At 44.7% G+C, this 15,508-nt stretch overlaps 1 annotated feature.

The window, feature by feature from the left end:
* Positions 13,359-13,653: a silencer, noted in NCBI's record as "tiled region #12838; HepG2 Repressive non-DNase unmatched - State 23:Low, and K562 Repressive DNase matched - State 8:EnhW". NCBI's record gives its function as "represses a minimal TATA promoter and a strong SV40 promoter by Sharpr-MPRA in HepG2 and K562 cells {active_cell/tissue: HepG2 | K562}" and the evidence as "EXISTENCE:reporter gene assay evidence [ECO:0000049][PMID:27701403]".

The raw sequence follows: 15,508 nt of genomic DNA on the forward strand, positions 1-15,508 counted from the left end.
AATGACTTATTTGACAATGACCTGTGATCCTATTTTGTGATATCAAGTGTTTTAAACCTTTGATACTCAACAAGCTTTCTAAAATCAAATTGTAAATTAGGTCTTTTTCTGATGTAATTAATCCTTTGAGAGATTAGGTTCCCTAAAGTCCAAAAATGACATAATTTGGTTTATTTGGTATAAAAATGATACAGGTAGCATTGTCAAATATGAAATGGTGTCTCATTTTCTTTAGGCTGTATTTCTATAATTATGTTATTAATATGTGTTCCAATATTATGGGAAACTCCTATAATTCTGATATAACTTAGTGTACATTATCAGTAATAATTATAATTGTTATGTTAAATTATTGTATGCCACAGAGGTAAATTTCCTTGTCAATTTTGTCTTTGACTATGGCTGCCCTAAAACCTTTTGTCATCTACGAACAATTGTTGTCTTGTTTTGGTCCTCTTTGGAAGATGGTTCTATAGTCAGCTATGGAACTCTAACAGTTGTTCTTGAATGCAGGTTTCTGATAACTTTGGAGAGTGTGACATCAGAATAGAAGAAAAACTTTAGGACTCATGGAGAGCTAAAATGTTCATGAGTATCAGGCAGAACAGAAATTAACTGCATGGACTGAACTAATCTTTATAACTTTTTGCTTAAAATGTTTGCTGAACATTTGTTTTGTGTTTGAGAGTCTTAAAACTTCTTTTGAGCTACTGACAGCTTTTAACAATTTAATATACTCCTATGAAAAAATTTGGAGCATATTTGTTTCTCTCTACCTGATTTCTTCAGAAATTAGAAGCTATTTGTGAATATTCTTAACTTATGGCAAGACAGTTATTTGCATAAGTGCAATAAGAATCTGTTTTTGGCCGGGTGCAGAGGCTCACGCCTATAATCCCAGCACTTTGGGAGGCCAAGGCGGGCGAATCACCTGAGGTCAGGAGCTCAAGACCGGCCGGACCAACATGGAGAAACCCCATCTCAAAATACAAAATTTAGCTGGGCATGGTGGCGTGCACCTGTAATCCCAGCTACTTGGAAGGCTGAGGCAGGAGAATCGCTTGAACCCAGGAGGCAGAGGTTGAAATCAAATGAGATCATGCCATTGCACTCCAGCCTGGGAGACAGAGTGAGACTCCATCTAAAAAAACAAAAAAAGAATCCGTTTTCATTTGTAACAGGACACAATTGGAGAAACTGGTTATTTAACCAAGGCTTTGACTGGAATAGTGTGCTTTCCTTTGAGAAATCAAACCTGACTTACGGAGCCAATAAAGCCCTTGGGAAAACTGGCATCATATTTTGTGTATACAGTCCCTATGCAGGGTTTCTGATGTGTGGTAAGTAAATAACGTCACATTCTGACAGGCCCAGAAGCCCCAGGTTTATCTTGGAACCTCAAGAGGAGAGGAAATTCACCCAACTCACAGATATTTCATGGCACAAATCCATGGCTGGGCTCGACTTTTAAAAAGTCTTTTCTGAGATTCCTCTTATGTAATGAAGTTCCATCAAAGCCAATTTAAAAGCCTATGTATGGTGGACACGGTGGGTCACACCTGTAATCCCAGCACTTTGGGAGGCTGAGGTGGGTGGATCACCTGAGGTCAGGAGTTCAAGACCAGCCTGGCCAACATGGTAAAACCCCATCTCTACTAAAAATACAAAAAATTAGCTGGGCGTGTTGGTGGCGTTCTGTAATCCCAGCTACTCAGGAGGCTGAGGGAGGAGAATTGCTTGAACCTGGGAGGCTGAAGTTGCAGTGAGCCGAGATAATGCCATTATACTCCAGCCTTGGCAACAGGAGCAAAACTCCATCTCAAAAAATAAAATTAAATAAATAAATAAAAGTTTATGTAAAAAAAATTATTCTTGCTGCACTTTATACAAATGATTATGACAAGTATAATAAAGCAAGCCAGTCCTACGATGATTTGTCTTTAGTAAAAATGGGAACCTGGAGAGAGAAAAATTATGTTTTGGAGCTACAGTACACCTGCTGTTAGATTCTAGTCTTGCCTAATGTTTTTTCAATTTTTATTTTCTTTTTGCTTTTTTTTGAGATGGAGTTTTGCTCTTGTTGACCATGATGGGGTATAATGGTGTGATCTCAGCTCACTGCAACCTCTGCCTCCTGGGTTCAAGTGATTCTCCTGCCTCAGCCTCCTGAGTAGCTGGGATTATAGGTATGTGCCACCACACCCAGCTAATCTTGTATTTTTAGTAGAGATGGGGTTTCTCCATGTTGGTCAGGCTGGTCTCCAACTCCTGACCTCAGGTGATCCGCCTGCCTTAGCCTCCCAAAGTGCTGGGATTACAGGTGTGAGCCAGTGTGCCCAGCCCAATTTTCATTATTTTCTACAGTCTGGACCGAATTCTAATATTTTCTTGGCTACAAGTCTTCAAAATGATGTTTTTATTTTTTTCTCCTTTTTTTCCCCCATTTTTCCTAATTTGGAGTCACTGAAAACTAAGCTGTGCTTTCTTAAAGCCCTATGAACTGAAGCCAGACAACTTAAATTTCAGACTGTTCATGATATGCTTGGAGTTTCTGGTTTGTCCTGAACATCCCTCCTTCTTAAACAACTAGTCATTTTCTCATATGAAATTTCTCTTTCTCATATGAAATTACTTCTCCCTAAGCTGCCTGGCAAAAAAAAAACAACCTATTTATTTAGGGTTTTTATTTTAATTAATTAATTAATTTATTTATTTTTGAGATGGAGTCCCACTCTGTTGCCCAGGCTGGAGTGCAATGGTGCCATCTTGGTTCACTGCAGCCTCCTCCTCCTGGGTTCAAGTGATTCTCCTGCCTCAGCCTCCGAAGTAGCTGGGATTACAGGTGCGCGCCACCATGCCTGGCTAATTTTTGTATTTTTAGTAGAGATGGGGTTTCACCTTGTTGGTCAGGCTGGTCTTGAACTCCTGACTTCAGGTAATCCACCCACCTCGGCCTCCCTAAGTGCTAGGATTACAGGCATGAGCCACTGCACCTGGCCACCTGGCCTTATTTTTTTTTTGAGACGCAGTCTCGCTCTTTTCGCCCAGGCCCCAGTGCAGTGGCGCTATCTCAGCTCACTGCAAGCTCCGCCTCCCAGGTTCACGTCATTCTCCTGCCTCAGCCTCCCGAGTAGCTGGGACTACAGGCGCCCACCACCACGCCCTGCTAATTTTTTGTATTTTTAGTAGAGACGGGGTTTCACCGTGTTCGCCAGGATGGTCTCGATCTCCTGACCTCGTGATCTGCCCGCCTCGGCCTCCCAAAGTTTTGGGATTACAGGCGTGAGCCACCAGGCCCGGCCTATTTATTTATTTATTTATTTTGAGACAATGTCTCACTCAGCCACCCAGGCTGGAGTGCAGTGGCATGATCTTGGCTCACTGCAACCACCATCTCCTGGATTCAAGCGATTCTCCCATCTCAGCCTCCCGAGTGGCGGTGATTACAGGCACCCACCATCATGTCCAGCTAATTTTTGTATTTTAGTAGAGACAGGGTTTCACCATGTTGGCCAGGCTGGTCTTGAACTCCTGACCTCAGGTGATCCACCCGCCTCGGCCTCCCAAAGTGCTGGGATTACAGATGTGAGCCACTGTGCCTGGCCAAACCTCTTTGTTTTTATAACTTCCTATCTTGTTTCATACATAAATAATCTTTGAAGTAGACAAAAATGATTCACCTTTTTTAAAGGTGAATTCACTTTTTTTTAGCAAGAATGTTTTCCTACAATATATATTTTATTTGAAAATACCCAAATAATGAAATATCTATTATTTAATATAACTATGGATTCTAAATTATGACGTTTGTCTGCAAGTATTTATTGCATTTCATTTACCTACTTTAATTGTTTACCTAGACTATTTATGAAAATTGTGATAGTCATCATTTAAAGTCATGAAACTGCCATTCCAAAATTACAGCTGAGATAGTGAAAAAGATCTGCCCTGAGTCCATCTTGCTTCTCACCTTCAAGCTGTCTTTGTTCATTCCTGGGCGTAGGCTGAACTAACTTTGGGAGGAACGTAGTTTATAGGTTAGCTTTGAAACAAAAATGGTAAAAGTCCTTTCCCAAAGCAAACTTCCTTACTAAATTCAAGATTTAGCTGTTTTCATTAAACAAATATCAATGGTTTATTTACTAAAGATTATAAAAGCAAAGATCATTCTGTCTTGGGCTGGGTTCATAGTTTTGTAACCCTTATGCCAAATATTGATGCCGTATAGTATTTGGCAGGGACAAGTATGAATTAGTTTTAAATGTTTTCTTTGAGTTTTGGTTCTCTCTCCTCAAGGAATCTCTTGGCTCTTTTCGTTTTGGGATTTACAACTCAATCCAGAGCGTCCATGACTACCACTACCTGCAACTATTAACTCCAGCTTATTTATTTTATTTTATTTTATTTTTGAGATGGAGTCTTGCTCTGTCACCCAGGCTGGAGTAGAGTGGTGTGATCTCAGCTCACTGCAATCTCTGCCTCCCGGGTTCAAGCGATTCTCCTGCCTTGGCCTCCCGAAGTACTGGGATTACAGGGGCACCCACCCCAGTTTATTTATTATTTTACTTAAGTCACGTGAACTTGGAAAAGCTTTTGTCTACTCGTTTTTCTTTGGTATCTGATTTAAGTGCTTTCTTTTTAGCCAATTAATTAGAGCTCTTTTATGTATTTTTAGTAGTGAACCATTGTATACACAACACATAAATACATACACATATTACGCATCCCGATAGATGTACATCTTATAGATTCTTAGACTTTCAGATTCTTGATAAGTTGTTTCATAACCCTAGGCAATTGTCAGCTAAATAGCCTCAAATTTGCAGATTAAAGGAAACAAGTCGAGTGAAAATCAAATAACAATTTATATCATAAGTTACAGAGATAAAAAGTCTGGTTTGATAGGGGAAATTAAAGATGGATGCTGGCCAGGTGAGGTGGCTCATGCCTTTAATCCCAGCACTTTGGGAGGCCAGCTCACCTGAGGTTGGGAGTTTGAGACCAGCCTGACCAACATGGAGAAACCCTGTCTTTACTAAAAATACAAAATTAGTCGGGCGTGGTGTCACATGCCTATAATCCCAGCTACTCAGGAGGCTGAGGCAGGAGAATCACTTGAACCTGGGAGGCAAAGGTTGTGGTGAGCTGAAATCATGCCATGGCACTCCAGCCTGGGCAATAGGAGCAAAACTCCATCTCAAAAAAATAAATAAATAAATAAAAGATGGATGCCAAATCAAACATAAAATTACAAAAATCACCAGGTGCAGTGGTTCACACCTGTAGTCCCAGCACTTTGAGAGGCTAAGGCGGGCGGATCACTTGAGGTCAGGAGTTTGAGACCAGCCTGGCCAACATAGTGAAACCCCATCTCTACTAAAAATACAAAAATTAGCTAGGCATGGTGGTGCACGCCTGTAATCCTAGCTACTCGGTGTCAGGTCTCTGAGCCCAAGCCTGCGTGTATACATCCAGATGGCCTGAGGCAACGAAGAACCACAAAAGAAGTGAAAATGGTCGGTTCCTGCCTTAACTGATGACATTACCTTGTGAAATTCCTTCTCCTGGACAATGAATCTCAGAAGCTCCCCCACCGAGCACCTTGTGACCCCTGCCCCTGCCCACCAGAGAACAACCCGCTTTGGCTGTAATTTTCCACTACCTACCCAAATCCTATAAAACTGCCCCACCCCTAACTCTCTTTGCTGACTTCTTTTTTAGGCTCAGTCCTCCTGCACCCGGGTGATTAAGAAGCTTTATTGCTCATACAAAGCCTGTTCGGTGATCTCTTCACACAGACGCATGTGACATTTGGTGCCGAAGACCTGGGACAGGAGGAATCCTTTGGGAGACCAGTCCCCTGTCCTCGCCCTCACTCCATGAGGAAATTCCCCTATAACCTCAGGTCCTCAGACCAACCAGCCCAAGGAACATCTCACCAATTTCAAATCAGGTAAGCAGTCTTTTCACTCTCTTCTCCAGCCTCTCTCATTACCCTCCAATCTCCCTGTCCTTCCAATTCCAGTTCTTTTTCCTCTCCAGTAGAGACAAAGGGGACACATTTTATCCACGGACCCAAAACTCCGGCGCCAGTCACGGACTCAGGAAAGTCTTCCCTTGGTGTTTAATCACTGCAGGGACGCCTGCCTGATTATTCATCCACATTTCAGAGGTGTCTGATCACTGTGGGGACACCTGCCTTGATCCTTCATCTTGGTGGCAAGTACCACCTCCCCTGAGTGGCAAGTACCACCTCCCCTGGGTGGCAAGGACCACCTCACTGCCGTGTCTCTACCCTCTCTTTTCTCTGGGCTTGCCTCCTTCACTATGGGCAATCTTCCACCCTCCTTTCCCCCTTCATCTCCCTTAGCCTGTGTTCTTAAAAACCTAAAACCCCTTCGACTAACACCTGACTTAAAACCTAAACGTCTTATTTTCTTCTGCAATACTGCTTGACCCCAATACAAACTCAACAATGGTTCCAAATGGCCAGAAAATGGCACTTTTGATTTCTCCATCTTGCAAGACTTGGATGATTTTTGTCAAAAAATGGACAAATGGTCTGAGGTGCCTGACGTCCAGACATTCTTCTACATATTGGTCCCACCCTAGTCTCTGCTCCTAATGTGACTTGCCCCAAATCTTCCTTCTTTCTCTCCTGTCTTTTCCTTCAGTCTCCACCCCAAGCTCTGAGTCCTTTGAATCCTCCTTTTCTACGAACACATCTGACCTCTCCCTTCCTCCCCAGGCTGCTCTTTGCCAGGCCGAGCCAGGTCCCAATTCTTCCCAGCCTCCACTCCCCCACTCTATAATCCTTCTAGCACCTCCCATCCTCACATCCAGTCCGCTTATCCGTGACTAACCCTCCCCCACCTGCCCAACAATTTCCTCTTAGAGAGGTGGCTGGAGCTGTAGGTATAGTCAAGGTTAATGCTCCTTTTTCTTTAGCCAACCTCTCCCAAATCAATTAGCATTTAGGCTTTTTTTCATCAAATATAAAAACCCAGCCCAGTTCATGGCCCATTTGGCAACAACCCTTAGACGCTTTACTGCCCTAGACCCCAAGGGGCCAGAAGGCCGTCTTATTCTCAATATACATTTTATTACCCAATCCACTCCCAACATTTAAAAAAAGCTCCAAAAATTAGATTACAGCCCTCAAAACCCACAACAAGACTTAATTAACCTTGCCTTCAAGGTGTACAATAATAGAGAAGACACAGCCAAGAGGCACCGTATTTCTGAGTTGCAATTACTTGCCTCTGCTGTGAGAGAAACCCCAGCCACATCTCCAGCGCACAAGAACTTCAAAACGCATAAACCACAGCAGCCAGATGTTCCTCCAGGACTTTCTTCCCCAGGATCTTGCTTCAAGTGCTGGAAATCTGGCCACTGAGCCTTGGAATGCCCACTACCTGGGATTCCTCCTAAGCCGTGCCCTGTCTGTGTGAACCCCCACTGGAAGTCAGACTGTCCAGCTCACATCGCTGCCACTCCTAAAGCTCCTGGAGATCAAACCCAACATTCCTTGGCTGACTCCTTCCCAGATCTCCTCGGCTTAGTGGCTGAAGATTGACACTGCCCGAGCGCCTCAGAAACCTCCAGGACCATCACAGACCCTTTGGGTAACTCTTACAGTGGTGGGTAAGTCCGTCCCCTTCTTAATCAATACAGAGGCTACCCACTCCACATTACCTTCTTTTCAAGGGCCTGTTTCCCTTGCCTCCATAACTGTTGTGGGTATTGATGGCCAGGCTTCTAAAACTCTTAAAACTCCCCAACTCTGGTGCTAACTTGGACAACATTCTTTTATGCACTTCTTTTTAGTTATCCCACCTGCCCAACTCCCTTATTAGGTCGAGACATTTTAACTAAATTAGCTGCTTCCCTGACTATTCCTGGGCTACAGCCACATCTCATTGCCTCTCTTTTCCCCAGTTCAAAGCCTCACCCCTTACTATCCCATTAAAACCTAATCACCCTTACCCCACTCAATGCCAGTATCCCATCCCACAACAGGATTTGAGGTGACTAAAGCCTGTTATCACTCACCTGTTACAGCATGGCCTTTTAAAGCCTACAAACTCTCCTTACAACTCTCCTATCCTACCTGTACAAAAACCGGACAAGTCTTACAGGTTGGTTCAGGATCTTCACCTTATTAATCAAATCGTCCTTCCCATCCATCCTATAGTGCCAAACTCATATACTCTCCTATCCTCAATACCTCCCTCCACAACCCATTATTCTGTTCTGGATCTCCAAGATGCTTTCTTTACTATTCCTTTGCACCCTTCATCCCAGCCTCTCTTTGCTTTCACTTGGACTGACCCTGACACCCATCAGCCTCAGCAACTTACCTGGGCTGTACTGCCACAAGGCTTCAGGGACAGCCCCCATTACTTCAGTCAAGCCCTTTCTCATGATTTACTTTCTTTCCATCCATCTGGTTCTCACCTTATTCAATACTTTGATGACCTTCTACTTTATAGCTCCCCCTACAAATCTTCCCAACAGGACACCCTCCTGCTCCTCCAACATCTATTCTCAAAAGGATATCGCATATCCCCTCTAAAGCCCAAATTTCTTCCTCATCCATTGCCTATCTCAGCATAATTCTCATAAAAACACATGTGCTCTCCCTGCTGATCGTGTCCAGCTAATCTTCCAAACCCCAACCCCTTCTACAAAGCAAAAACTCCTTTCCTTCCTAGGCATGGTTACGTACTTTCACCTTTGGATACCTGGTTTTGCTATCCTGACTAAACCATTATATAAACTCACAAAAGCAAACCTAGCTGACCCCATCCTAAATCCTTTCCCCCACTCCTCTTTCCATTCCTTAAAAACAGCCCTAGAAGCTGCTCCCACACTAGCTTTCCCTAACTCATCCCAACCCTTTTTCATTACACGTAGCCGAAGTGCAGGGCTGTGCGGTCAGAATTCTTACACAAGGGCCAGGACCCCACCCTGTAGCCTTTCTGTTCAAACAACTTGACCTTACTGTTTTAGGCTGGCCCCCACATTATTTCTGATACCACACCTGACCCCCGTGACTGTGTCTGTCTAATCCACTTGGCATTCACTCCATTTCCCCATATTTCCTTCTTTCCTGTTCCTCACTCTGATCACACTTGGTTTATTGATGGCAGTTCCACCAGGCCTAATTGCCACTCACCAGGAAAGGCAGGCTATGCTATAGTATCTTCCACATCTATCATTGAGGCTACCGCTCTGCCCCACTCCACTACCTCTCAACAAGCCGAACTCATTTCCTTAACTCGAGCCCTCATTCTTGCAAAAGGACTGCATGCTAATATTTATACTGACTTTAAATATGCCTTCCATACTGCACCACCATGCTGTTACATGGGCTGAAAGAGATTTCCTCTTCTCAAGGCCGCTTTATTTCCAAAGGAAGCTGGAGTCATTCACTGAAAAGGCCATCAAAGGGCCTCAGACCCCATTGCTCAAGGCAACAATTATGCTGATAAGACAGCTAAAGAAGCAGCCTGTATTCCTACTTCTGTCCCTCATGGCCAGTTTTTCTCCTCATCAGTCACTCCTACTTACTCTCCCACTGAAGTTTCCACATATCAATCCCTCCCTACTCAAGGCAAATGGTTCTTAGACCAAGGAAAATACCTCCTTCCAGCCTCACAGGCTCATTCCATTCTATCGTCCTTTTTAACCTCTTCCATGTGGGTTACAAGCCACGAGCTCGCCTCTTAGAACCTCTCATTTCCTTTAAGACATTTGCCCTGCATTTCACTCCATCCTTGGCTACCTTCCCCTTGTTCTTCGGACTCTCCTCCTAGCTGTCCTCTTGCTTGCTTATACCTGGCCCCATGAATAGCAGTGAAAGGTTATTCATAGACACTATGCGCTTTCTCATACACCATAAAAATCGAACCTCCCCCTCTACCCAGTTGCATCATCAATCCCCATTGCAACCTCTACCTCCCAGGTACAAGTGATTCTCCTGTCTCAGTCCAAGTAGCTCAGATTACAGGCATGCACCACCATGCCTGGCTGATTTTTTTGTATTAAGTAGAGATGGGGTTTACACCATGTTAGTCAGGCTGGTCACGAGTTCCTGACCTCAGGTGATCCACCCGCCTCGGCCTCCCAAAGTACTGGGATTACAGGTGTGAGCCACCACACCTGGCCAGACTACCTGTCTTTTAACTAGCTCTCTGAGCTCTGGGCAGGGCCCACACTGAATCCTGGGTTTCCAAACCGGGAGAATTATTCTGAGGCTAGACTATCTGATGTTTTTACAGTGCACTTAAAAAAAATTTTTTTTTAAAACAAAGATATTTCTAAGTGTCTAAACTACACCCTTCTTTAAAAACCCAGAGTACCCTGTGTTGCAATAATTATTATAGTCAATATATCCGGTAACACAATACAAAAGCAAGCAGCTTAAAGGCTGAGATGAACTTGTCTGTTTACACTTTTGGGGTTCTATAAGGAATAACAAGTTTCTCCCCAAAAGGGAGTCTGGCAACTTCTCCGTTTTCTTAAAGGAACCCCAGGTGATTGTAAACTATTTTAGGTCCCTCATGCAGCAGAGGGTACAAGAGAAAGGAGAGACAGGAGAAGTGAATGAAGAAAACAGAATTCAGTCAACTAAGAAGAAAAAACTTTTCCTCAAAAATAAAGGACAACGTCCTAGGACAGAAAAAATAAATGACGGCCTTTGAATACAAACACACATATGCACACGTACACACACACATCTTGGATGTTAGCTTTTAATTAAGCTGACTTTAACCATTGAGCTCCTTTAAAAAAATGTTTTTAAATTTCATTACCATTTTTGAGCTGGGACAAATTGCCGCTGTTTCAGAAGCACAGCCATTGCTCTTTCAGTTTCGCCTGACTAGCAAAAAGGTGGCCTCGTTATGTAAATAAAGCCCCTAAAGGGGCTAAAGTAGTCAAAATCCAAAATCTGTCCTCTTTTCTCCCTTTTGCTGGCTGTTTTTCTCCCTCACCACACCGCCTTTCTTTTTTTTTTTTAATTCAACCATTTGAGAGGCTTTGTTCCACAAAATTTGGAACTTTCCTTTGGATTTGATCAAGTCAGATCTTTCACGCGCGTATGTGTGAAGACATCACCAAACAGGCTTTGTATAAGCAATAAAGCTTTTTAATCACCTGGGTGCAGGTGGGCTGAGCCTGAAAAGAGAGTCAGCGAAGAGAGATAGGGGTGGGGCCATTTTATAGGATTTGGGTTGGTAGTGGAAAATTACAGTCAAAGGGGGTTGTTCTCTGGCTGGCAGGGGTGGGGGTCACAAGGTGCTCAGTGGGGGAGCTTTTGAGCCGGGATGAGCCAGGAGAAGGAATTTCACAAGGTAATGTCATCAGTTAAGGCAGGAACCAGCCATTTTCACTTATTTTGTGATTCTTCAGTTACTTCAGGCCATCTGGATGAATACGTGCAGGCTTGGGCTCAGAGGCCTGACATTCCTGTCTTCTTATAGTAATAAGAAAAATAAAACAAAATAGTGTTGAAGTGTTGGGGTGGTGAAAATTTTGGGAGGTGGTATGGAGAGATAATGGGCGATGTTTTTCAGGGCTGTTTCGAGCGGGATTGGGGTGGCATGGGAACCTAGAGTCGGAGAGATTAAGCTGAAGGAAGATTTTGTGGTAAGGGGTGATATTGTGGGGTTGTTAGAAGGAGCATTTGTCGTATAGAATGATTGGTGATGGCCTGGATACGGTTTGGATGAATTGAGAAACTAAGCAGAAGATCCTGCTACAGTTAACTACTACAGTTAACCAGCCCAACCTATTCCTTTAATTCGGCCCATCCCTTCATTTCCCATAAGGGATACTTTTAGTTAATTTAGTATCTATAGAAACAATGCTAATGACTGGTTTGCTGTTAATAAATATGTGGGTAAATCTCTGTTCGGGGCTCTCAGCTCTGAAGACTGTGAGACCCCTGATTTCCCACTTCACACCTCTATATTTCTGTGTGTGTGTCTTTAATTCCTCTAGCGCCGCTGGGTTAGGGTCTCCCCGACCGAGCTGGTCTCGGCAAGAAAGAACTAAAAAGCTAAGGGAATACCAAAACAACCAAATGGATTCTTGGTTTGGGAACAAAATCGTAGCATGAGTCATCCCCATTCCTGGGCCATCTCCTAATAATATGCCCAGGACTAATGTTCTTACCCTGCCTAATAAACTTTTTTCAAGGATTTTTAACTGACAGGATCATGGCCATTTCACAGACAACTACCCCAAAACATCTACAGATGGCATTACTCCTATAGTCAATCCGAAACCAGAAAACTCTCCATCCCCGTCAAAAGGAAGTAGCCAGAAAGAACATGCCGCCCCTCTTTTTTTTTTTTTTTTTTTTGGGGGGGACAGAGTCTAACTCTGTCACCCAGGCTAGAGTGCAGTAGCATGATCTCTGCTCACTACAACCTGCGCCTACTGGGTTCAAGTGATTCTCATGTCTCAGCCTTCCAAGTAGCTGGGATTACAGGCATGCGCCCACCACACCTGGCTAATTTCTGTATTTTAGTAGAGACGGGGTTTCCACTGTGCTGGCCAGGCTGGTCTCAAACTCCTGACCTCAGATGATCCACCCACCTCAACCTCCCAAAGTGCTGGGATTACAGGCATGAACCACCGTACCCGGCCCTTTTTTTTTTTTTTCTTTTTTTGAGATGGAGCTTCGCTCTTGTTGCCCAGGCTAGAGTGCAATGGTGCGATCTCGGCTCACTGCAACCTCCGCCTCCTGGGTTCAAGCAATTCTCCTGCCTCAGCCTCTCAGCTTGCTGGCATTACAGGCGTGCACCACCATGCCTGGCTAATTTTTCTTTTTCTGAGACGGAGTCTCGCCCTGTCGCCCAGGCTGGTGTGCAGTGGCTCAGTCTCGGCTCACTGCAAGCTCCGCCTCCTGGGTTCACGCCATTCTCCTGCCTCAGCCTCCCGAGTAGCTGGGACTACAGGTGCCCGCCACCACGCCCAGCTAATTTTTTGTATTTTTAGTAGAGACGGGGTTTCACCGTGTTAGCCAGGATGGTCTCGATCTCCTGACCTCGTGATCCACCCGCCTCGGCCTCCCAAAGTGCTGGGATTACAGGCGTGAGCCACCGCGCCTGGCCTAATTTTGTATTTTTTTTAGCAGAGATGGGGTTTCACCGTGTTGGTCAGGCTGGTCTTGAATACTTGACCTCAAGCTATCCACTCGCCTTGGCCTCCCAAAGTGCTGGGATTACAGGTGTGAGCCACTGCACCTGGCTGCCCCCGTCCTTTTTATCACTATAGAGTCTGGACTGACGGAGCAGGAGCACTGCCATCTTGGACAAGCACTGCCATTTTAAGTTTTGCCTTGATCAAAAACTGCCTAAATCCAAAGGGCATCAGCCTAATGGCTAAGGTCAGCATGACCATAAACCACAAATGACATCTCTGACCAGAAACGTTCCAAGCCCCTCCCCAGCCAGAGACATGCCAGCCCCAAGATAACCTCCCCTTCGGCTGGAGAGGTGTCAGCCTCAAGATAACCTCCCCTCCAACCAGAGACATTCCAACTCCACCATAAACTTCTCCCTGACACAGAAACATTCCAAGCTCTCTCCAATAAATACTGTTAGTCTGGGCCAGACGCGGTGGCTCACGCCTGTAATCCCAGCACTTTGGGAGGTGGAGGCAGGCGGATCATGAGGTCAAAAGATTGAGACCATCCTGGCCAATATGGTGAAACCCGTCTCTACTAAAAAAAATACAAAAATTAGCTGGGTATGGTGGTGCGTGCCTGTAAGTCCCAGCTACTTGGGAGGCTAGCAGGAGAATCGATTGAACCCGGGAGGCGGAGGTTGCAGTGAGCTGAGATCTCGCCACTGCACTCCAGCCTGGTGACAGAGTGAGAATCCATCTCTAAATAAATAAATAAATAAATAAATAAATAGTCTGTAAGAGAGAGCACTCCTGACTGAAATCAGCCAGAAGCCCCTCTCAGGTTTGATTTTTGAGCTGCTTTTTGTGTTTCTTTCCTCTTTCTTTAACTCTTACTGTGACTTTGAACGGAATGGGAGGCAGATTGGCCCTAAGCAGTTCCCAGCTTGACTTTTCCTTTTAGCTTAGTGATTTGGGGCCCCCAAGATTTACTTTCCTTTCTTACTACCCAGGATTCCTTGGGGTGAGCTGCTCATTGAGTAGGCTGCCTAGCCTTTGGCCCATGCCAGTGAAGCCCCTGTCCCCATCTCTCTAGTAGGCCACACAACACCTTCTGGGAGGTACCACTGGCATTGTATCATGAGATAAAATAAAACAATAACTAAATAGCCAGGCATGGTGGTGTGCACCTGTAGTCCCAAGCTACTTGGGAGACTGAGGTGGAAGGATTGCTTAAGCCCAGGAGTTGGAGCCTGCAGTGAGCTGTGATCATGCCACTACACTCCAGCCTAGGTGACAGAGTAAGACCTCATCTCTAAAAAAACTTTTTTCTTTTCTTTTTTTTTTTTTTTGAGACAGAGTTTCTCTCTTGTTGCCCAGGCTACAGTGCAATGGCATGATCTTGGCTCACTGCAACCTCCGCCTCCTGGGTTCAAGTGATTCTCCTGCCTCAGCCTCCCGAGTAGCTGGGATTACATCTAATTTTTTGTATTTTTAGTAGAGATGGGGTTTCACCATGTTGGCCAGGGTGGTCTTGAACTCCTGACCTCAGGTGATCCGCCTGCCTCAGCCTCCCAAAGTGCTGAGATTACAGGTGTGAGCCACTGTGCCCAGCTCTGAAAAACTTTTTAAAATAAATAAATATTAGAATATGTGGGAAAATAAAATTAATTAAAAAAAAAAACAGTAACTACAATAGCAACAGCTACTATTTACTGAACACTTACTCCACCTCACTTAATCACAACTCTTTGAAGTAGGTACTATTATTTCCATTTTTACAGATGGGCAAATTAAGGCTCAGAGGCGTTAAGCAACTTGCCCATACAGACAGTAAGTGTTGCTGGTGATTCAAACCCAGGTCCGTCTGGCTTTTGGAACTCATGTCCTCACATTCACTGGTCTGCAGAGTAGCACCAAGTACCTTTTACCACCCTGACCAGCTCCTGGGTACTGCCCTCCTGCCTGCAGGCCTGAACACCATGACATCCAGCTAGCCCCTGTCCCCTATGACATCCTTCTCCCTCTTGCCAATGAAACCCAGTAGATCAGGCTGCCTGACAAAAAAATTTCTTGTGATGCCTTGGACTGTGGCATTCATCCTAAATGCCTCCCTAACAGCATGGCCCATTGCTCCTCTAAGAGTCTGGCTCACACTCTTACTGAGTTTTTGCTTATGCCCTTTGCCCTTCTTGGATGCCCTTCCCTAACCCTTCAAGGGCCACTCAGTTGAAGTTCCAGAAGACTACAAATTCCTCAATCCAGTCATCTCACACAATTCTGGGTTTCAGAGCCAGAAGTGCCCCCACCACAGAAATCTCTGGCTCAATGCCAAGTCAGGAAGCTGCAAAGAGCAAGGAGGGCCTGTGTT

The sequence above is a fragment of the Homo sapiens genome, chromosome 1 (assembly GCF_000001405.40).
Source record: "Homo sapiens chromosome 1, GRCh38.p14 Primary Assembly".
In the NCBI taxonomy this organism is placed as follows: Eukaryota; Metazoa; Chordata; class Mammalia; order Primates; family Hominidae; genus Homo; species Homo sapiens.